Source organism: Homo sapiens, chromosome 1 (assembly GCF_000001405.40).
Source record: "Homo sapiens chromosome 1, GRCh38.p14 Primary Assembly".
Taxonomy (NCBI): Eukaryota; Metazoa; Chordata; class Mammalia; order Primates; family Hominidae; genus Homo; species Homo sapiens.
Genome location: NC_000001.11, coordinates 175,284,656 through 175,308,808, shown reverse-complemented (window position 1 = coordinate 175,308,808; position 24,153 = coordinate 175,284,656). Strand labels below are relative to the sequence as shown.

Below are 24,153 nucleotides of genomic sequence, written 5' to 3'. Positions count from 1 at the left end.
TTTGGGTGCAGATACAGAGTCACACCATATCAGTAGTCAACCTCTTTCTGCCTCTTACTGGTAGTGTGCCCTAGGATAAGTCCTTCTGTCACTCAGGAGCTTAGTGTCCGTATATCTGTAAAATGGGATTAAGAATAATGTCCTTCCTACTTCACAGACTATTGTGAAGGGCAAACTATAAAATGGGCAGAAAAATGCTTTACAGCAGATGTTCTTACAACTTGAGAATGTGTTAACTTGGTAGAAGTTAAAAGGTGTTGAAAAGCAGCCTTATTATCTTCATAACAGTGTTATGGCCTGAAATTTCACTCACCTGGTTCTCCAAAACAACTTATTGCCTTAAAGAAATGCTCTGGGCAAAATAAGAGCATCAACCTGCTATCAAGGGTCAGCTGATAGACACCTGAGAGCAGAAAGGGGACAAGGGTGGGGTTGGAGCCGAAGGGAACAGAGGACGCAGGAGTGGGACAAAACCTCCACATCTGAGGCCAGCCCCACAACGACTCTGCTGGGGAAGAATGGTGAAGAAGACCAGGCTGTGTGCAAAAGCCAGCCCGGTATGTTTCAGAGCCACAAGCTCTCTAAGGACAGTAGTCAGGTTCCGGTCCATTCCTCCACCACCTGTGCTGCCCCAGGCCCTCAGCAGCCATTACAAACAGGTAGTTAATGGCAATCCTTCAGATGTGTGGGTTGAGGGCACCTCACTATGAGCCCTTGTATTTTTCAAAACTCTTCCCAGGAGACCACGACACTAGTTGAGAGGCCTGCTGGGTTCTCGAGTTAGCCCAGCAAAGGGCATGCTTTACTAGTATAGATGATAACTTCTAGGAGGGGGCTTTTGAGTAGCTCCTAAGGATTGTGGATTTCTGTTGTGTTGAGTGGGCTGCCTGGGACCCAAGGGACAGAGAGGCAGAGCACTGCCATCAGCACCTTCCTCATATCCCCCTTGTAACTACAGTCTTAGCCCCAGTTCTACATAGATATGAAACAAATGTTTAAAGAGTTTTCATTTGAAAAGGCAGCCATTATTCTAAATACCCACATTTCTCCACCCGGCTTTGCCCCCAAACTTTGCACAATAGCCCCACATAGGAAGGAATATCTGCTTCTGCCCCTTAGAACAAATCCAAAACTTCCCACTGACAGAAGTGTGGGCTATCAGAGAAGGTCCCCCACTCCACCCCACTGACTGTGAGCTAGGAGCTGGGAACTCTCTGTCCCCCAGCCTCACCCCGGCGGCCTGGGATTGGGGGAACAGCCTGTCACATCCTAGCCCTGATTCTGCCTGGCAATATAAAAGAGCAAAAGGCTCATAGCCACCTTGAAAATCATTCACCTCTCCCAGCTCCCAACCTATAAAAAGAAAAGGAACAGAAACTATCACATTCACACTCACTCCTGCTTGCACCCAGGTGGTACAGACAACTTGGCAGTTCGTTGAATTTGTTGCTCTCACTCTGGAGGTGTTGTGTGGGCTGTGACAGATGTGCTGGGGCAGCGGGGCCTCTCTGCTGCAGTTTCTCCATCAAGGCATGATATTTACACACTGAAAGCAAGACAGCACCTCCTCACACATAGTAAGGCACACACTGCCGAAGAGAGCCCTGGCAGGTCCTAACAGGTGACCATGTCCTTCAATGCATCTCCACTGAGCCACCTAAGTACTCCTGACCTAGGGCCTTTGTTTACTGTACCATTCACTTGTTCATTCATGCATGCAAGCATTCATTCATTCAATAAAGATTCCAGAACACACTCTGCCTCTTACTGGTTGTGTGCCCTGGGGTAAGTCCTTTTGTCACTTTGAAGCTCAGTGTCCTTATCTGTAAAATGGTATAAAGAATAACTGCCTTTCCAAGTGAAGGTGAGGAGCAGGCCATGATGAAGAACCAGAGTGGCTGAAGCACAGATGGGTGGGGATGGGTAACACAGGTGCAGCTGGGAAGGACGGCAGGACCTAATCAGACAGGGCCCTGCAAGCCATGCTTGAATCTTCATCGATTATAAGAGTGGTGGGGCTGGGCACGATGGCTCATGCCTGTAATCCAAGCACTTTGGGAGGCCGAGGCAGGTGGATCACAAGGTCAGGAGATCGAGACCACCCTGGCCAACATGGTGAAACCCTGTCTGTACTAAAATACAAAAAATTAGCCAGGCATGGGGGCACACACCTGTAATCCCAGCTACTCAGGAGGCTGAGGCACAGGAATTGCTTGAACCCGGGAGGCGAAGGTTGCAGTGAGCTGAGATTGCACCACTGCATTCCAGCCTGACGACAGAGTGAGACTCCATCTCAAACAAACAAACAAAAAAAAATAGTGGTGGGAAGCCATCGGAGGTGCCCAAGCAGGAGAGTGAGATGATCATGTTTGCATTTAAGAGAGTTGGCTGTGGCTATTGTGTAAATGGTGAAGGGGTACACAAGATTTGGGGGGAAATCAGGAATGGTTCAGATGAGAAATTAGGATAAGTTGAACTCAGGTGGTTTTAGTAGAGCTGGGAAAATATATATCCTCAAGAGATATTTAGGAATTAAATGGACAGAACCAAACATGTGGATGAGGAAGTTATAATGATGGTGTATAGAACTCTGGACAGCCTGACTGGGTAGGTGGTGGCTGCCCAGCTAAGGAAGAGACACTGGGTGAGAGCCAAAAACAGGAACTCCATTTGGAGCATCAGCTAGAGATGCCTTCAGATATCCAGGCAAAAGAGACTGGCAGCTGCATGTGTAGGACTAAAATTCAAAGGAGTGGCCCAAGCCAGAGATACCTGGGGATCACATACATGGCCAACTTCATGGGCTTGTGACCTGCACAGTCACAGAGGGCCTTATGCTAGAAATGTCCCATGTGTGATTTAACACTTTGTTGTCAGCACTTGAAGTTTTTGATCAAGAAACTCCCACATTTTTATTTTGCACCGGGCCCCCACAAATTATGTAGGTGGTCCTTAATATTTCATAATATCAATAAGATACTGACCACAATGGAAGCTACAGGCATGAATTCATTTGTTCATTCAACAAATACACTCCAGGCATTCTTCTATGCACTGGTGAAATAGCAGACGACAAAAGAGACAAAAATATCTGTCCTCACAGACTCTATACAATAGTGGATGAAGAAAACAAACAAATGAAATAAACTAGTACAATAAATACTATGTGAGATGGTGGTAAACCTCAGAAGGTAAATAAATAAACACAGAGAGCGGATTAGTCTGCTAGAGCTGCCATAAAAAATACCGTAAACAGCAGTGGCTTAAGCAACAGAAATGTATTCTCTCACTGTTCTGGAGACTGGAAGCACAAGATGAAGGTACCAGCAAATTCTGTTTCTCTCTTCCTGGCTTGCAGACGACTGCCTTCTTGCTGTGTGCTCACGTGGCCTTTCTCTGTGCAGGTGGACAGAGCGAGTGTTCTGGTGTATCTTCTTATAAGGACATGAATCCTACTGGATCAGGGCTCCAACCTTAGGACTTCATTTAACCTTAATGATCTCCTTAAAGATCTTGTCTCCAAGTACAGTCACATTGGGAGTTAGGATTTCAACATGTGAATTTTGGAGGACACAGTTCGGTTGGTCTCAGAGGATGGGGAGTGTTGGGGGCAAAGGAGTAGAGCAGAGACTGTTAGCTCTACCCCAGGTCACCTGTAGCTTTTGTGGGTAGTTCTCATTTATGCCAATGGAATTTCACCTCAAGCTTCAATGTTTTTCTATGGAAACGTTATGGAATGACTGTCCCTAGGAGTGATTCTCAAATAATTCGAGAAAGCAGGTGATGGATATACCCCAGCTTCCTTGCTCCTGAGCAAGACAGTTCTGAGATGTGCTCTACCTAGTTTCTCAGAGGGTCTCCCACAGTTGTGACACCTCCAACTGACTTTCACCCCTTCCCTTTTCCACTTCCCTATGACCTCACTATGCTTCAGTAAATATATATATATGTGTGTGTGTGTATATACATATACATATGTGTGTGTATATATATATGCATATATATATACATATGTGTGAAAGTCAATCAGAGGTGTCACAATGTTTGAATAACGTCCCAAGAAGGCGGGGAGCAAGTCACAGGGACATCTGGAGCTGAAGTGTTCCAGACAGAAAGAACAGCAAGTGCAAAGACCTCAGAGTTCTAGGCGCACCAGTGAAGCTGGTACAGAGAGACTGGAATAGAGCAGCAGGAAATGTGATTAGCTGGGTAAAATGTGAGGCTACATTGTAGAGTAGTGCTGGCCAATAGAAATAGAATGTGAGCCACAGATAGGATTCTAAACTTTCTAGTAGCCACACTTAAAAAAGAAACAGGTAAAGTAGATTTAATAATATATTTAGTCAATATATCCAAAATACTATTTTTTCAACATGTAATCAATATAAAAGAATTTTATCAAAAAGATTTTTTACATGCACCTGTAGTCCCAGCTACCTGGGAGGCTAAGGCGGGAGAATCACTTGAGCCCGGGAGTTTGAGGCCAGCCTGGGCAACATGGCAAGATCTATACCCGTCTCAAAAAGTGGGTGGGGTGGGGGGGTATTTTAGATTCTTTTTCTCATCGCTATATCTTCAAATTCTGGTTTATAATTTATGATTGCAGCCCATGTCAATTTGGATGCTAAATTTTCATTAAACATATTTAACCCATATTATGGGCTAAATTTCATTTCCTCAAAATTCATATGTTGAAATTCTAACTCCAAGGACCTCAGAATGTGATTATATTTGGAGAGAAGGCCCTTAAAAAGGTGAATATGGTAAAATGAGGTCATATAGGTAAACCCTAATCCAAATGACTGGTGTCCTTATAAGAAGAATCCAAATGACTGGCGTCCTTATAATGACTGGCGTCCTTATAAGAAGAGAGATCAGGGCACAGACACACACAGAAGGAAGACAGTGTAAGACAGCAGAAGATAGCCATCTGCAAGCCAAAGAAAGAGACCTCAGAAGATATCAACGCAGTGACACCTTCATCTGAGACTTTCACCCTCTAGAATCATGAGAAAATGGATTTCTGTTTAAGCTGGCCAGTCTGTGGTACTTTGTATGGCATCCCTAGTAAACAATTGCAACCTGTATTTAGCTTTCTAAATCAAAAACTAAGTAAAATTCGCACTTGGAAAAGTAGATTCACACACACATGAGTTCTTCCAAATACACTTTCAAAATTCCTTATTTGCTGAGGTTCCATTTCAATGCCTCAATAACCACATGTGACTAATGGCTACTATGTTGGACTGTATAGCTCTAGAGCCTATGGACCATAATAGCAACTTTGGTTTTTACTGTCAGTGAAGTGGAATGACATTAGAGATTTTTGCATAGAAGAATGGCATCATCACTGCAGCTGCTGTGTTAAGAATAGAGTAGGAGGCAAGTATGGAAGCAGAATGTCCAGTGAGGAGGCTAGTACAATAATTGAGGAAGAAATTATGGTTGCTTAAACCAGGGGATGTAGCAATGGAGTTGGTGAAAGTGATCTGTTTCTGGATATATTTCTAAGCATAGCTGGCAGGATTTCCTGATGGATTGGTTGTGGAATGGTAAAAGTCAAGAATGACTACAATTTCTCCCAAGCCCTGACTTTTGAAATAAGAATCTTTTAAAATTGAGGTATAATTTATATACCATAAAATACATCTTTTAAAGGTATACAATTTGGTGGTTTTAGTATACTCATGAGGTTGTACAACAATCACTAAGACCTAATTCCAAAACATTTTTCCACTCCAAAAAGAAACCTCTTACCCATTAGCAGTCATTCCCAGTATTCCCTTCCTCCAACCCCTGAAAATCACACATCTACTTTATATCTCTATGGATTTTCCCATTCTGGACATTTCATATAAATGGAATCATACATTATGTGGTCAGTTGTGTCTGGTGCTTTTCACTTCATGTAGTGTTTCCAATGTTCATCCATATTGCAACATGTACTTCATTCCTTTTTATGGCTGGTTAGTATTCTATTACACAGATATTCCACATTTTGTCTAGCCACTCAACAATTGATGGTCATATGAGTTGTTTCCACTTTTTGGCTATTCTGAATAATGCTCCCATGAACATTCATGCACAAGGTTTTTTATGTCGAGATATGTTTTTCTTTCTCTTGGAAACTTACCAAGGAGTGGAACTGGTGGGTCATATAGCAGCTAACAATGTTTCCAAAGCAGTTGCACCATTTTGCACCACCAGCAATGAACAAAGGTTTCAATTTCTCTACATACTCACCAACTTTTCTTATTGCCCTGCGTTTTTTATAATTGCCATAGTGGTGGGTGTAAAGTGGTATCTCATTGTAGAAATTTACATTTCCCTAATGACTAATGATGTTGAGTGTCTTTTCATGTGTTCACTGCTTGTATATCTTCCTTGGAGAAATACATATTAAATTATTTGCCCATTATTAATTGGGTTTTTTTTTTGCTGCACTGTAAGTTCTTTATATTCTCTCCATATTCTCATCATACCTTTATCAAATACACTATTTGCAAACATTTTTCATTCTGTGGGTTGCTTTTTTGCTTTCTTAGTAGTTTCGTTTAAAGCACTAAAGTTTTTTATTTTGATGAAGTTCAATTTATTTTATGTTAGTTGCTTGTACTTTTGGTATTAGATTTTGTCAAATGCTTTTTCTGCAACTATTGAGATAATCATGGGATTTTTCTGCAACTATTGAGATGATTGTGTGATTTTGTCCTTTATTACCTGGATGAATTGTCATGTATTGAAACAACCCAGCCTTCATGGGATAAATCCCAGTTGATCATAGTATATAACCCCTCTGTATATGTTACTAGATTCACTTTGCTAGTATTTTCTTGAGAATTTTTGTATCTATTATATACTTATAAGGGACATTGGCCTGTGGTTTTCTTGTGTGTGTCTGTGAAGTCTTTGTTATGTTTTGGTATTATAGTGATACCAGTCTCATAGAACAAATTCGAAAGTGTGTCCTCATGTTTTTATTTTGGAACAGTTTGTGAAGAACTGATATTAATTATTCTTTAAACATTTGGTAGAATTCATGAGTAACTTATCTGGGCCTGGCATTTTCTTTGTAGGAAGGTTTTTATTACTAATTCAATCTCTTGACTTGTTATATATCTACCGAGATGTTTTATTTCTTCTTTAGCCAGTTTCAGTAGTTTGTGTGTTTCCAGGAACTTTTCCATTTCATCTAGGCAATTGAATTTGTTGGCATAAATTTTTCACAATATTGTCCTAGAATCTTTTTTATTCCTGTAAGACCAGTAGCAATGTTTTCTCTTTAATTCCAAATTTCAGTAATTTGAGTCTTCTCTATTTTTTCTCAGTCTAGCTTAAAGTTTGTCAATATTGTTGATATTTTCAAAGAAGAAACTTTGAGTCTCATTGATTTTCTAAATTTTTTTATTTCATATTTCATTTATTTCTGCTCTACCCTTTATTATTTTCTTCCTTCTCCTGGCCTGGGGTTTTATTTGCTTTCCTTTTTCTAGCTTCTCCAGGTGAGGTTTAAGTTATTGATTTTAGATCTTATTATTATTTAGTATAGGCATTCACAGCTGAAAATTCCCTCTAAACACTGCATTAGCTGCATCTTATAAGTTCTGGTATGTTGTGTTTTCATTTCCGTCCAATTCAAAGTATTTTCTAATTCCCTTTGTGATTAGGTCTTTAAACTATTGGCTATTTAAGAGTATGTTGTTTAATTCTCATTAATTTGTGAGTTTCCCAAATTTCCTTCTGTTTATTTATTTCAATTGTAGACAGAGAATACATTTTATAAGATTTAAAACCTTTTAAATTTATTAAGACTTGCTTTGTGGCCTGGAGAATATTCCATGTGCCCTTGAGATATTGACTTTTCTGCTGATTTGGGATGGAATGTTCTATAGGTATCTTTTAGATCTAGTTGTTTCACAATGTTTTCAAGTCTTCTATTTCTTTCTTGATCTTCTTTCTGGTTGTTCTATGCATTATAGAAAATGGGGTATCGAATTCTACAATTACTGTTAAATTGTCTCTTTCCCCTTTCAGTTATATTATTTTGTGATTCTGGGCTCTGTTGTTAGGTGCACATGCATTTATAATTGTTCTATTTTCTTGATGGATTAACCCTTTTATCATTATAAAATATCTTTGTCTCTAGTAGCAATTTTTGCCATAAAGTCTGTTTTGTCTGAAACTAATGTAGACCCTTCAGCTTTCTTTTGAGAGATTAGTTTGCATGGTATAGCTTTGCTCATTCTTTTCCTTTCAGCCTATTTTTGTCTGTGAATCAAAAACATGCCTCTTACAGACAGCTGGTTATATCATGTTTTTTTAATCTATCCCACCAATTTTTTCCCTTGAATTAGGGTGTTTAATCTTTTTATATTTAATAAAACTACAGATAAGGTAGGACTTGCCTATGCCATTTTATTCTTTTCTACATGTCTTATATCTTTTTGTTCCTCTATCTCATTTTTTTGAGACAGAGTTTCACTCTTGTTGCCCAGGCTGATCTAGGCTCACCACAACCTCCACCTCCCAGGTTCAAGCGATTCTCCTGCATCAGCTTCCTGAGTAGCTGGGATTACAGGCACCCATCACCACGCCCGGCTAATTTTGTATTTTTAGTAGAGACGGGGTTTCTCCATGTTGGTCATGCTGGTCTCGAACTCCCGATCTCAGGTGATCCACCCGCCTAGGCCTCCCAAAGTGCTAGGATTACAGGAGGGAGCCGCCGCGCCCTGCCACTTATTTCTTTTACTACATTCTTTAGCTATTTTCTTTATAGTTTCCCTGGGGATTATAATTGGTAGGTGGAACATTACAACTTTAAAAGGTTGATGGGGAAAGGATCCTGAAAAGGAGAAGGTACTGAGAGAAGAGGAAAACTCGGGAGGGTGTGATATCCTAAAATCCAAGTAAAGGCTGGAAGCGGTGGCTCACATCTGTAATCCCAGCACTTTGGGAGGCTGAGGCAGGCGGATGACAAGGTCAGGAGATTCAGACTATCCTGGCCAACATAATGAAACCTCATCTCTACTAAAATACAAAAAAATTAGCCAGGCATGGTGGCGTGTGCCTGTAGTCCCAGCTACTCAGGAGGCTGAGGCAGGGGAATCTCTTGAACCCGGGAGGTGGAGGTTGCAGTGAGCCGAGATTGTGCCACTGCACTCCAGCCTGGCGACAGAGGGAGACTTTGTCTAAAAAAAAAACAAAACAGCAACAAAAATCCAATAAAGAAAACATTCAAAGAAAAGGGAGTGATCAATTGTGTTGAATACTGCTGAGAGAAGACATAAGGTCAGAAGTTTATTTGTGACCTTGACAGAGGACTGATGGTAGTGGTGTGAAAATATGACTAGAGTGAGTGAAACCCCTAGAGAAATACGGGAGGTGGGGGGCAGAAGGGTGGGGGGTCTATGTTCAAGAGAAACCTAAAAAAAGTCAGATTGAAAAAGGAAAAGGCATTTCAGATTCTCTGCCTCTTCTTTCTCTAAGAAGTCAAATAAAAATGAAAAAAAAAATGTGTGTGTATAAAGGATGAAATGGATTCTGAGGATACTCTCAACAGTCAGAGTTCTCTCTTCTTTGTCTGAGAAGCAGCCATACGGGCCTCTGCAAATATTTAGGCATTTTATTTCAGGATGTATAATAGTTTGCAGAAACTATTTGGAAGGCCTTATAAGTATACAGTTGGCTTGGTCACAACATCCAGCTAGGGAACTGGAAGCCCAGAAAATCACAGATTACCTAATAATTTAGGGAAACCATAATACTTTGATGTTGTCAACCTACATAACAAACAGAGACTCTCTTAAAAGAAAAATGGTATTTTGTGGAGAATACCGCTTTGCAATTGGAATACACATGCCATAGTAAACTACGTGCATAGTTGGGAAGATAAAGGAAGACAAAGACCTTTAAAGGAAAAGTAAGGAGGATTACATAATTGTTTTTGAGATTATTGTCCTTGACTACAAGGATCAGTAACAAGGGTGATGCCAATTCAATGTTAACAGGTAGTTGCTGGGCAGTGTTCCTACAGGAGTATTTTTCTGTGTGTGTGTTTAAGATTGCAATGGCCTTTGTGCCATGTTGTGATTTTTGCAGTCTTTCATGACAGTTTTTGTTATCAGCCTTTTATGCATGAGAACCTCCCCATCATGGCCTTCCTTGGTTTTGTCAGGATTTTGTTTGTTTGTTTTCTTGTTTGTTTGTTTAACACAAGTGACCTCATTTTGATTCTGAAAGCTTTCACATTTCCCCTTTTTGATCAAGATCTTTCTCCAAAAGCACCAGTGATCAATCATCCTGTAGTTAGGTTTTCATTGTCCCTGGATGCTGGGATGGACCTATCCCAGACTGTTGGTCTGGTTCCTCATGGGAAGGAGTGAATGGTGCCTAGGAGACATGTCAAAATCCCTTTAACCACATTTGAGCAACAAGGGAGGTTTGAAGGGAGTAGCTCTCAGGCTACATCTACCCCAATTCATTATTAGGTTCAATTTTGTCTGTTCCATAGTCTTTTATCATCATCTCAAGTGTTGGGCCTGCATTATTTTCTCAGGAGTTATATGTCTGCAAAAATTTAACAAGTAACAGATACAAAGTTTTAAAAATAAAAATACAAAGTAAAATTAATTGTAATATGCCAATCCCAGTTTGCATAACAGTTTTCAGCCATGAACCTTGGCTTAAAAAGACAACCAATTAAATAAATCATACAACCATTATCCTGCCAAATGAAAAAGGTAGAAATTAAGAGGCGTAAGACTCTCATTATGATATGGAATACTGTTCTAATATCTTGGTAAAAGCTGTCTACAGCATAAAAACATCACCTTCTTGTACTGGTTTGCAGTTCGAATGTCTTTGTTGATGGCATCAGACAGTTTGATGAACTTTGTATGACCTATACATCAACCCTGAGACTTGTTCCTTAAAATTTACCTATTAATAACTTCAGTGTATAGGGCTTCCAGAACAAAGCATTTCTTATTTTTGGTAATTCTATGGAAGAAAATTGAACTGGAAGAAACTAGAAGAATTTAGGATTTAGTCCAGTCTATAGATAGATAACAAGAATTTGGAAACAATGCATATGGCTACAGTTTAATAAAAGGAGTATTCTAGTGTTTTTAAAACATAGAAAGTACATAGGAATTGCATAGGAACTCAAATCTGAATTTCCTGTGTAATTCAACGTAGAGATAAAAAGTGATCAATGTTGAGATAAAAAGTGATAAAAAGAAATCAAAGTCTCAAAACTTCCTCAGGCTAGAAAGCCACATCAAGGAAGACTTTAGATTTCACTTATAGTCTGAAGGTTCTTGGGCCTGCCAGGAAGTGACAATTTTCATTCACTCACTGTAAGGGTGAGAATCTTTGAAGTCAGGCATTCTATGCACATTCACAAATACGACATTTCAGTCAAAGCCTTGGTAATATAACCAATGAATTCTATTGTATACTGTTATATTTTTTGCTTGTTTTATAAAATTTTTATTTTATGTAAAAATAGGTAACATGGTTTCTTTCATTGCATGGATGCCTTGGATAATCCATTTAAAGAAGATCACTTAGTCCAACTAAATGAAACCTATATCCTTCATGTACTGATGGAAACACCGGTGGCACCTACTGAGGCCATATTTCTGGATCAGACTATGCCAGTTTGAGCAGACGCAGCAAGAGTGCAAACCCTGGCTGAATTTTCTCCAGCAGAGCTGCTGGTGACCCATCTTGCTTTCAGGAGTATAATGAGGTAAAGGCATATCCTGTATAAAGGGAGCAGATTCTTATTGAATTTATGCAAGTAACCATATTGCAAAAAATAACAAGAAGAAGAAGAATACTCACAAATGTTTTCAAATTTTGGAGGGATCAAATAAGAAGAAAAAGCAAATGTTTTCACCTTTGTTCACAGCAGTATACCTTACCAAATAGATAGCTTAAGAGATAAAATTTCCTTAAATCTGAAAAATAAAGCATTTAAGTAAAGAACGAATGATGTTTCAAATAAAAGTCATAAAAACATTATTTTTGGCCTGGTGCAGTGGCTCACATCTGTAATCCCAGCACATTGGGAGGCCAAGGAGTGTGGATCACTTGAAGTCAGAAGTTGTAGACCAGCCTGGCCAACATGGCAAAACCCCATCTCTACTAAAAATACAAAAATTAGCCAGGCTTAATGATGTGCGCCTGTAGTCCCAGCTACTCAGGAGGCTGAGACATGAGAATAGCTTGAACCTTGGAGGCGGAGACTGCAGTGAGCCAAGACCGCACCACTGCACTTCAGCCTGGGCACAGAGTGAGACTCCGTCTCAAAGAAAAAGGAAACAAACGTTTTTTTCACCAGTTTTCCAATGTCATTAATTTTGTTCTGCTTTGTCTTGATTAGCATCTTCATGAATCCATCAGTATTTTTATTAGAATTCTGGGACATTTTTATTTAGTCCATTGATTTTAAAGCTATTAGAAACCTGTATTTAAGAATACTTGTTAGTATCTTTTCCATGAATCTGATTACAAATGCTTTTAGAGAAAAATTGAGACGATAACGTGGAAGACAGACTTAAAATAGCCATCGTTAAAAATCTGATGAAAGTTCATTACAATCAGCAATTGACAAGGGAATTTGGGATTTTTGTGGCATTCAATATAATAACCAGAACTGTTACAGATATGACATATTACACTTTTAAGAATTTTATAGGGCCAGGCGCGGTGGCTCACACCTGTAATCTCAGCACTTTGGGAGGCCGAGGCAGGAGGATCACCTGAGGTCAGGAGTTTAAGACCAGCCTGGCCAACATGGTGAAACCCCGTCTTTACTAAAAATACAAAAGTTAGCCCAGCGTGGTGGCAGGCATCTGTATTCCTAGCTACTCGGGAGGCTGAGGCAGGAGAATCGCTTGAACCTGGGAGGCAGAGGTGCAGTGAGCCGAGATCGCGCCATTGCACTCCAGCCTGGGGGACAAGAACGAGACTTCGTCTCAAAAAAAAAGAATTTTATATACAGTTTTGAAACATTTTTATTAGTAACATACCCATAAATGTAACTGGAAAAAGATCTAGTATCACTTCTCATTTGACAATGTTTCCCATATAATTTACCAAATAAGCCTAATCATTTAATATCTCTCTACAAGATGAGGAATACATCCTTTGAAGCTCTCCAGGGACACCACTGAAAAATATCAAAGTCAATTTTAGGTCAAAAATACTTAATTTAGAATTTTGATATGGGGAAGTCTTTCAAAGGTACCCAAAGGTTTAAAACACTTGATCAAAACAGGATCACAGGTCACTGTGGAAATACTAGCTATTCATTTAACTAGAGTGATAATCAAAAGACTTCAAAAGCAATACAGAAAGTTACGTGGATGTAAAAATCCTTAACCTCATCAAAACTCAGTTTCTCTAAGTAATCAAAAACCTAATAAACACAACATGAAATTATCTTAATAAAATATACAATCTTTGTTTCTCAGGCCAGTTACCAAAAGGATTTTGTTTTTATTAAAATCTTCTGGCAGTATGATTGCTTCTTTTTATGGGAAACCCATTTAGATATCCTGGAGTCAAACCTGATGAAAAGGCACTTGAATTTAATCAGACACAGGAAGAACATGTTCAAAGCTATGAGTGTACACCACATTAAAGAGGAACATAAACAGGAAAACCAACACCTTGAGCAGGGTAATCCATGGCTTTTAGTAATAGCATGGGAAGTTTTCTGGCTACATGAAGCAATCAAGACACATCAAGAAAAGCCAAGAATAGGGAGTCAAGTTATACTGGAGGAAAACATTGCTTTGCTAGGCTTTCAAGGGAAACATTTCAGTGTCAGGCCATAACAGTAGGGATAGAAATAGAGAGAACATTATAGGAGCTGGCAAAAATATTTAAGGAGAGAGTTCTCATCCCAGACCTTCTCAAGGAGAGAAAGGAGGAGATCAGAAGGCAATGATATGTGACCTACAAATCTCATGCAGAGACACAGCAAAAGCTGAACTTCTGATATACGAATCCAAGAATCTTCAAGAGGAAAACTTTACCTTGATAATTGAAATTATCATTCTAAATGAGGAAAACAGCATTTCTAACCAGAAACTAGGAAAAACTAAATGTATCTCAGGAAGAAATGTGGCAGAAACATAAACTGTACAACAGGAAGAAGCTGCAGTTCAGAAGATAACTGAAAATTAAAAGAAACAGATTTCAGAATCAAAAATCAAAACCTCTTGCAACTTTTACTAAGACAAGATCAATACTTCAAAAGAAACTTGGTTGTGCTAACACAGGGAACCAAAATTTTTTAGTTATATATCAAAGCTCAATCTTTTTAATTTTTCATATCAAAAGCTCAATTTTTATATCAAAGCTCAATCTTTAGAAAGACATAATTTCCATCTAATTATAGCCAACTTGATCACAGACAAAATTTCTTTCCTAAATTCATCCTTCACAAACCTTATCACAACTTACTCAGACTGTCAACGACATGCTTCAGCCTTTTGCTTTGTCCTGTGTTTCCTCTTTCTTAAATAACTAGTCATTTTACTTTAGGAAAAAATTCACTACACAAAATTCTTTCTCATAGAAAATTTTTCTTTTGTTCTTTTTTAATCTTCCTTACCAAAAATACATCTTTATACCTGTACCTTTCTTCACATCTCTCACTCTACTACTTACTGGTTCCTTTCTATCTTGTTCTACGTCTTTTCTAAATTTACTTCTGGAAACAAGCCTCTGGATTGAGACTAAATTTTTTTCTTCTCAATGAGGAATACGTTTTGTTGTTTTTTGTTTTTTTTTTTGAGTCAAAGTCTCACTCTGCTGCCCAGGCTGGAGTGCAGTGGCACGATCTTGGCTCACGGCAAGCTCCACCTCCTGTGTTCACACCATTCTCCTGCTCAGCCTCCCAAGTAGCTGGGACTACAGGTGCCCACCACCACACCTGGCTAATTTTTTTGTATTTTTAGTAGAGACAAGGGTTTCACCATGTTAACCAGGATGGTCTTGATCTCCTGACCTCGTGATCCGCTCACTTGCCTCCCAAAGTGCTGGGATTAGAGGTGTGAGCCACCGCGCCTGGCTGAGGAATACATTTTTATGCCTTCCTTATAATTTCTCTCATTAAAAACACATCTTACTTTTTGGTACACTTTGTGAACAGAATTATATATTACTTAGAATTTTTGACTCTTAGTAACCTCAATTTCTAGTGAAAACCTAGGAAGCAAGAAATTTTGAACTGTCAGCTACATCTCAGTATTTTATCTTATTTGTAAATGACCTAGACGTTAATATCTATCACTTAATTTAACATAATTTTAAGACTTTAAATCACATGAAAAGTTCATTTATAAACATGTATTTGACTTATTTTCTATTTTTTTATTTTTTCTTCTCATTATTGCATTTTTTTATTATTATACTTTAAGTTCTGGGTTACATGTGCAGAATGTGCAAGTTTGTTACATAGGTATACACGTAACATGGTGGTTTACTGCAAACATCAACCCGTCATCTACATTAGGTATTTCTCCTAATGCTATCTGTCCCGTAGCCCTCCACCCCTCTACAGGCCCTCGTGTGTGATGTTCCCCTCCCTGTGTCCATGTGTTCTCATTGTTGAACTCCCACTTATGAGTGAGAACATGCAGTGTTTGGTTTTCTGTTCCTGTGTTAGTTTGCTGAGAATGATGGTTTCCAGCTTCATCCATGCTTCTGCAAAGGACATGAACTTATTCTTTTTCATGGCTATATAGTATTCCATGGTGTATATGTGTGGGTTGGTTCCAAGTCTTTGCTATTGTGAATAGTGCTGCAATAAACATATGTGTGCATGTGTCTCTATAGCAGAATGATTGATAATCCTTTGGGTATATACCCAGTAATGGAATTGCTGGGTTAAATGCTATTTCTGGTTCTAGATCCTTGAGAAATTGCCACACTGTCTTCCACAATGATTGAACTAATTTACACTCCCACCAACAGTGTAAAAGCATTCCTATTTCTCCACATCCTCTCCAGCATCTGTTGATTCCTGACTTTTTAATGATCGCCATTCTAACTGGCATAAGATGGTATCTCAATGTAGTCTTGATTTGCGTTTCTCTAATGACCAGTGATGATGAGCTTTTTTTCATATGTTTGTTGGCCGCATAAATGTATTCTTTTGAGAAGTGTCTGTTCATATCCTTCGCCCACTTTTTGATGGGGTTGTTTTTTTCTTGTAAACTTGTTTAAGTTCCTTGTAGATTCTGGATATTAGCCCTTTAACAGATAAGTAGATTGCAAAAATTTTCTCCCATTCTGTAGGTTGCCTGTTCACTCTGATGATAGTTTCTTTTGCTGTGCAGAAGCTCTTTAGTTTAATTAGATCCCATTTGTCAATTTTGGCTTTTGTTGTCATTGCTTTCAGTGTTTTAGTCATGAAGTCCTTGCCTATGCCTATGTCCTGAATGGCAATGTCTAGGTATTCCTCTAGAGTTTTTATGGCTTTTAAGTCTTTATCCATCTTGAGTCAAATTTTGTAGGAACAGTCCAGTTTCAGTTTTCTGCATATGGTTAGCCAGTTTTCCCAACACCATTTATTAAATAGGGAATCCTTTCCCTATTGCTTGCTTTTGTCAGGTTTGTCAAAGATCAGATGGTTGTAGATGTGCAGCATTATTTCTGAGGTCTCTGTTCTGTTCCATTGGTCTATATATCTGTTTTAGTATCAGTACCATGCTGTTTTGGTTACTGTAGCCTTGTAGTATAGTTTGAAGTCAGGTAGCATGGTGCCTCCAGCTTTGTTCTTTTTGCTTAGGATTTTCTTGGCTATACAGGCTCTTTTTTGGTTGCATATGAAATTTAAAGTAGTTTTTTCTAATTCTGTGAAGAAAGTCAATGGTAGCTTGATGGGGATAGCACTGAATACATAAATTACTTTGGGCAGTATGGCCATTTTCATGATATTGATTCTTCCTATCCATGAGCATGGAATGTTTTTCCATTTGTTTGTGTCCTCTCTCTTCCCTTGAGCAGTGGTTTGTAGTTCTCCTTGAAGTGGTCCTTCACATCCCTTGTAAGTTGGATTCCTAGGTATTTTATTCTCTTTGTAGCAATTGTGAATGGGAGTTCACTCATGATTTGGCTCTCTGTTTGTCTGTTCTTGGTGTACAGGAATGCTTCTGGTTTTTGCACATTGATTTTGTATCCTGAGACTTTGCTGAAGGTGCTTATCAGCTTAAGGAGACTTTGGGCTGAGACAATGGGGTTTTCTAAATATACAATCATGTCATCTGCAAACAGAGACAATTTGACTTCCTCTCTTCCTATTTGAATACCCTTTCTTTCTTTCTCTTGCCTGATTGCCCTGGCCAGAACTTCCAATACTATGTTGAAGAGCATGGACTAATAGTATGGTGAGAGAAGGCATCCTTGTCTTGTGCCAGTTTTCAAAGGGAATGCTTCCAGCTTTTGCCCATTCAGTATGATATTGGCTGTGGGTTTGTCATAAATAGCTCTTATTATTTTGAGATATGTTCCATCAGTACCTAGTTTATTGAGAGTTTTTAGCATGAAGGGGTGTTGAATTTTATCGAAGGCCTTTTCTGCATCTGTTGAGATAATCATGTGGTTTTTGCCATTGGTTCTGTTTATGTGATGAATTGTGTTTATTGATTTGCGTATGTTGAACCAGCCTTGCATCCCAAGGGTGAAGCCGACATGATCATGGTGGATAAGATTTTTGATGTGCTGCTGGATTCGGTTTGCCAGTATTTTATTGAGGATTTTTATATAGATGTTCATCAAGGATATTGGCCTAAAATTTGTTGTTGTTGTTTTGTCTCTGCCAGATTTTGGTATCAGGGTGATGCTGGCCTCATAAAATGAGTTAGGGAGGATTCCTTTCTTCTATTGTTTGGAATAGTTTCAGAAGGAATGGTACCAGTTCCTTTTTGTACCTCTGGTAGAATTTGGCTATGAATCTGTCTGGTCCTGGACATTTTTTGGTTGGTAGGCTATTAATTACTGCCTCAGTTTCAGAACTTGTTACTTGTCTGTTCAGGGATTTCACTTCTTCTTGATATAGTCTTGGGAGGGTGTATGTGTCCAGGAATTTATCCATTTCTTCTAGATTTTCTAGTTTATTTGCATAGAGGTGTTTATAGTATTCTCTGATGCTAGTTTTTCTTCTGTGAGATCAGTGGTGATATCCCGTTTATCATTTTTTATTGTGTTTATTTGATTCTTCTCTCTTTTCTTCTTTATTAATGTGGCTAGTGGCCTATATATTTTGTTAATCTTTTCAAAAAACCAGCTCCTGGATTCATTGATTCATTGATTTTTAGAGGGGGTTTTTGTGTCTCTATCTCCTTCAGTTCTTCTCTGATCTTAGTTATTTCTCGTCTTCTGCTAGCTTTCAAATTAGTTTGCTCTTGCTTCTCTAGTTCTTTTAATTGTGATGTTCGGGTGTCGATTTTAGATCTTTCCCACTTTCTCCTGCGGGCATTTAGTACTATAAATTTCCCTCTACACACTGCTTTAAATGTGTCCCAGAGATTCTGGTACGTTGTGTCTTTGTTCTCACTGGTTTCAAATAACGTATTTATTTCTGCCTTAATTTTGTTATTTACCCAGTTTTTTACCTAAATTATTTATTTTTCAAAAATTTACCTAGACCATTTATGAAAACTGACATATTGAACAAAGCAAGTCATCACTTCAAGTTATTTCCCTGTTAATCATTTTTGTAGGCTCTGAATATTTGGTGTTCATCTCAACATCAGCACAAAGGTCAGAAGTAGGCTGGAAAAAAATAAATAAATAACGAGAGATCTTAGAAGGCTCTATATATTAACTCTGTAGTTGCAGTTTTTACTTCAGCTCCAAGAAAAACAGGCTTGGTGAGTTCAAATCATCTCCATGATAGCCATGGATTTAGAAATGCACATGAGAAAAGCGATGTAGTCTGCTGGGGCCATAGAAAAACTGGCATGCCTTAGAATTTTGAGAATCCCATTCCCTTTCTTATCAATCTTTCCAGAGCAAAGAAAATCCTATAACTTTGATCGGGGGATATCAGGAGTTTGGACTGGTGTTTATATGGTGGTGACTGTCCTAAGTGGCTTTTAACTGGCCATCTTGCATCCACCATTTAGAATGTTCTTTTTTGCACTCAGAAGATTTTCAAAAACAAGCAAGGGAAAAGAGTCAAATCATTTGTACGCACACCTAACCACGCCAAAATGAAACTGAAATCAGTGTGTTCACAAATATTTTAAATCAGGCATACAGATCAAACACAATATTAAATTAGGCACGCAGAACCAAGATGAATTCACCAGAAAAGATATGCCCCACAGAGAATGTAAATCCTGTAGAAACCAAGCTACTCAGACCAGGACACTTGTCTTTATACAAGAAAAGGCTTTCAACAAACAAAAAAAAAAAGAAAAAAAAATAAAACACTTTCACGGTCCCAAGACAGATAGATGCAAGGTTTTTATTTAAGATAGCCTTATAACAAAACCAAATCCCGAATAAATTCAAAAAGCCTGTACCAAAAAGAAGGGGGTTTGGCTTGAGACAAGACTCCTTGTGCAGAAAAGGTGAGCCATGAAGGAGAGAGCCCATAGAGCTCAGGTGAGTACTGCATATCAGTTCCAGGAATCACCAATTCCTTCCAAAAGTGATCTTATGTAAGGTCCCACTTCTGGACACCATTTCTATCAGAGAAGCTGTATAGAAGAAAGTGATGCTTATTTGGGGGTGCAGCATTACAATGGGAACACACACACTGTAGTTAACTATCCTTGACTACAAGGATCAAGAACAAGAGTAGCACTAGCTCAAGACTGGACAGGCAGTTGCTGGGCAGCTGTCCCCACAGGAGTATTTTTTTGCGTAAGGTTGTAATGGCCTTTGTGCAAAGTTGTGTTTTTTTCAGTCTTTTGTGATATTCTTATTATCAGTCACATATGCATGAGAACCTTCTCTTCATGGCCTTCCCTGGATCTATTTGTCAAGATTTTTTTTTTAACACAAGCAACTCCATTTTGATTCTGACAACTTTCACAGTGTCCACCTAAGAGAGAATTTTCTTTTCCTTTCACTTCAGATACTATCACACTTATTCAATCCTTAAAGTATTCAAAGGCAATCAGCAACATTTGAATCCTTTTCTATTCCTAATGAAAGTAAAAATGTCTTCCCAATTTCCTGAGTGGGAATTGAGGCCAAATAGAAGATAGTTTTCCACAGGAAAGGTCTTCCAATAGACCAGAAGTGGGGAAAAGTATACGTAATAGACTTAATACTTGCCTGCCTCCCCAACATCTATTCCCTTTATTCTTGCTAAATTCCCCCAAATTCATTCAGATATACACACCTTCCCCTAGGGCAGAGTTTCTCAATGTTGGCACTATTGACATTCTGAGCCAGCTAATTCTTTGTTGGCGGGTGGAGGGATGGACCGTCCTGTGCACCATAACATTGCTACATGTTTAGCATCTTCCCTGGCCTCCACCCACTAGATACCAGTAGCACACCTCCCTCCCTCCAGTTGTTCCACGGGGGCAAAATCATTTCCCTTTGAAAACCACTGCTGCAGGGGTAGAACACAGTTGTTCAGGCCTACATCAATTATTACAATCCCATTCTGGCTCACAGTTATCTTTTCAAGGGGAAACACATGTCCCAATTCAGTTCAAGAGTATTACAGCAGATGTCTGTTAGCTTCACGAAATGAAATTCTCACTCTCTCTAAATTTTGTAGTGTATGAAAGAAACTCTAAGAACCAGTGCTTTCATTTTCCCTGCACTAGGGAAAAAAGCCAGGCTTAAAATGAAAAAAAGCCAGGCTTAGAATGAAGCTGACACCACATGAGGCTAAACAGAAACTCTGAAAGAAACTGAGTTCTGATTACATTTTCAAATTGCTAAGTCAGTTCTGACCCGGAATCATGAATGTATCTCCTTTTTTTGTTTGTTTGTTTAAGACAGTTTCAGTTGGGTTTTCTGTTAATTGGTACTGTTAAAAGAAAAGCTTTAGACAAATTAGATTTAGGAGTTTAATTGAGCAAAAAATATATTCTTGAATCCCTCAGAAGCAGCAGAGGTTCAGAGAGCTCCTCCCCACAACGTGGGCAGGAAGCATTAATGGACAGAAAACAGAAGTGAGGTGCAGAAACAGCCTTATTGGTTACAGCTCTGCGTTTACCTTTTCTGAACATCACCTGATCCGTGGGCTGCCTGCAACTGACTGAAGCTCCACTGTTGTGATTGGCTGAGCCTCAGCCATTTGTGACAGAAGTTAGGCTTTGAGTTACTTTATGTACTAAGTTAGGTTGCAGTTCATTATGTAAGGATTCAAAGTATGGAGGCATCCTCAGGCCAAATGTAGTTTAATTGAACACTATTAAAGGCATCTTACCTTGTAAAATATGGTAAGTAGATTTATGACATTTAGACATCAGGAAAGTTTTGACCCAGTCTAAAAAGAAGAAGTCTATTATTAACTTCCAGGTTTGAAAAAAAGTTAAGGAGAGTTGAACTTAATTTCTGTCCGTCTTTGAACTCACTGCATCCATCCCAAAGTCATGTCAGTTGTGTAGTCAAATGAGTTATGTCAAAAGTGCTTCATCATATAGAACCCATCAAAATGCCCTGATTACCATTTCAGGCAGAATGGTCCCAAGAGACCTTATGGCAGAAAAGAAAGATAATGACCACACGGATTTTAGGTGTTTTTATTACTACCTTGTTGACATCGGCAAAATCACCCCTCTGGGTCAACATTTGTCAAACTGTAGTCCATGGATCCTTAGGAGCCCATGAGGCCTTTTCAGGGGACCCACAAAATCCACACTATTTTTATAACAATATTAAGGAAAAATTTCTTCACATCGACAGTTGCACCAATGGTTGGCAAAACTACAGGGGTCTTAGCACAAATCAAGGCAATGGCAACAAACCGTACTCACAGTAATTATATTTTTTATTCCCAGTAAAACAAACAAAAAATCACTTCCCTTAAGAATATCCTTGACAAAAGAGCAGAAATTATTAACTTTAGTACATCTTGACCGTGATTGCATGTCTTTTTAATTCTGTGTGACTAAATGGAAAGAATGCTTAAAGCACTTCTGCGGCATACCCAAGTACAATGATCGTCTTGAGGAAAAGAACTTGCGTGATTGTTTGAATCACCAGCTGAACTAGTTGCTTTTTTCATGAAATGCCATTTTTACTTGAAAGAACAACTGACAAACTATGGTTTTCTCAGACTTGGGTATCTGGCAGACATTTCCTCAAAAATGAGCAAGTGAACCTGTCACTTCAAGGAAAACAATCTTGATAAAATTTGAGCTCTCAAGAGAAAATTAGAATTTTGAAAAATTTGTATCTACCACAGTAAGCTTGACAGCTTCCCAGCATTTAAGATCTTTTCTGATGAGATCAGTAGTCATGTTAAAAATGTAATTTTTTGATATTGTATAATAAGATATGTCAGATTTGAAAGATCTGCATAACTCATTGAACCATTTTTCTGTTAGGTTGTTTGTCATTTTCTTATTGGTTTTAGGAGTTTTTTTTTTTCTAGATAGGAAGCATTTTTCAGTTATGTGCATTTATATCTTATCTTGTACTATTTGCTTGTCTTTCCACCCTCTTTATGATGTCTTCAATAAAGAGAATTTTTTGGTTTTTATGTAGTCAAATTTATCAATCTTTTCCTTAATGGTTAGTGTTTGTTGGCCTTGTTTTCTGATCCTGAGACAAGAATATATTCTCCCATGTTATCTTCAGAAACGTTGTGGTTTTACCTTTTACATTTAGGTTTTTAATCTACCCAGAATTTTTAATTAGGTTGAATTAAATTATTATTAGGTTTCATTAGGTCGAATAAAATTGCCTATACTTGACAGCTTTTGACCTACAAAATTGCTATTCTATATCATTCAACACAATATATGATGTGAGGCAGGAATGTATTTTTGTTTCTTCCCATATGAGTAGCAAATTTCCCCATTACTATTTATTTACAAGTCTATCTTGCCCACTGATCCACAGTGCCATCTTTCTAATGTACTTCTTTTTGTTGATCTCTGTTCCAATACTACACCATCTCGATTATTACGGTTTTAAAACAATTATTAATATCTTTAGGGCAAGACCTCCCACCTTGTTCTTTCTTGTCAGTGAATTCGGCTATTCTTGACTCTGCCTTTCCAAACAAGTTCTTTAACCAGCTTGTAAGTTTTCAACAACAACAACAAACAAACAAACACAAAAAAAAACAGTGAGAATTTTAATTGGAATTGCACTAACTCCATACATCAACTTGGAAGAATAGGCCTTTTTGCAATGTTGGGTCCTCCAGTCAATGAACACCGAATACCTCTCAATTTATGTCTTATTTAATATCTTTCAATAAAAAGTTATAATTTTCATCTAAGAGGTTTTACATGTCTCTTATTAGATTCCCTTCCAGGTACTATTTTGGGTCTGAGATTTGATTTTATACTACTTACAAGCTAATAAGTTGACCTATTATTGTTTCATGAATGCTGGCAGAAGACACAAGCCTCCTGAAGAGATGAAAACTCTATTACTTACGGCCTAGCAAGCAGCATGTGCATTGGTTTTCCTCAACCCAAGTCCCATGAAGGATTACAGGTGGATGCTATGCACGGAGGGGGTTTGCCTGACAGCTGAGGAACACTGAGCTTGGGAAAGCCATTATTCCATTGCAAGCAAGAAGCAGGCTTGCTCTTTTCTCCAGAGGAAGACATTATCTTGTCCTGCAAGATTTTTCACTGCAAAAGCAACCCCTTGTGGCCTGCACGAAGAATTGTTGGGGCCTTGCATTCTTGTAAAAGTAATCTTGTAAATGATTACCTTTGTAAAAATTTCATTTTCTAACTCTCTGTTGCTGATACGCAGAAATATAATTTAATTTTGTACACTAATCTTTTAGCATGCATACCAAACTCATTAATTCTAATCATTTATCCTTCCATTCTTTTTTTTTTTTTTCTTGAGACAGAGTCTCACTCACTCTGTTGCCCAAGCTAGAGTGCAGTGGCACCATCTTGGCTCATTGCAACCTTCACATCCCAGGTTCAAGAAATTCTCCTGCCTTAGCCTTTTGAGTAGCTGGGA

The 24,153-nt window shown here is 38.5% G+C and overlaps 1 long non-coding RNA gene and 1 pseudogene across 2 annotated transcripts in view, besides 1 other annotated feature; both read right to left on the bottom strand.

Moving 5' to 3' along the window:
• The window catches only part of LOC105371623 (uncharacterized), a 48,000-nt gene extending 26,701 nt beyond the window's left edge, over positions 1-21,299 (bottom strand). For both annotated transcript variants that reach the window (XR_001738299.2, XR_001738302.2), the window contains exon 1: positions 21,209-21,299. This is a non-coding gene — a long non-coding RNA (uncharacterized LOC105371623). The remainder of the gene's footprint in view (positions 1-21,208) is intronic.
• On the bottom strand, positions 11,568-11,729 carry RPS29P4 (ribosomal protein S29 pseudogene 4; annotated as a pseudogene).
• Positions 21,227-21,286: a silencer, noted in NCBI's record as "silent region_1567". NCBI's record gives its function as "represses an Ori minimal core promoter by ATAC-STARR-seq in GM12878 lymphoblastoid cells {active_cell/tissue: GM12878}" and the evidence as "EXISTENCE:reporter gene assay evidence [ECO:0000049][PMID:35858748]".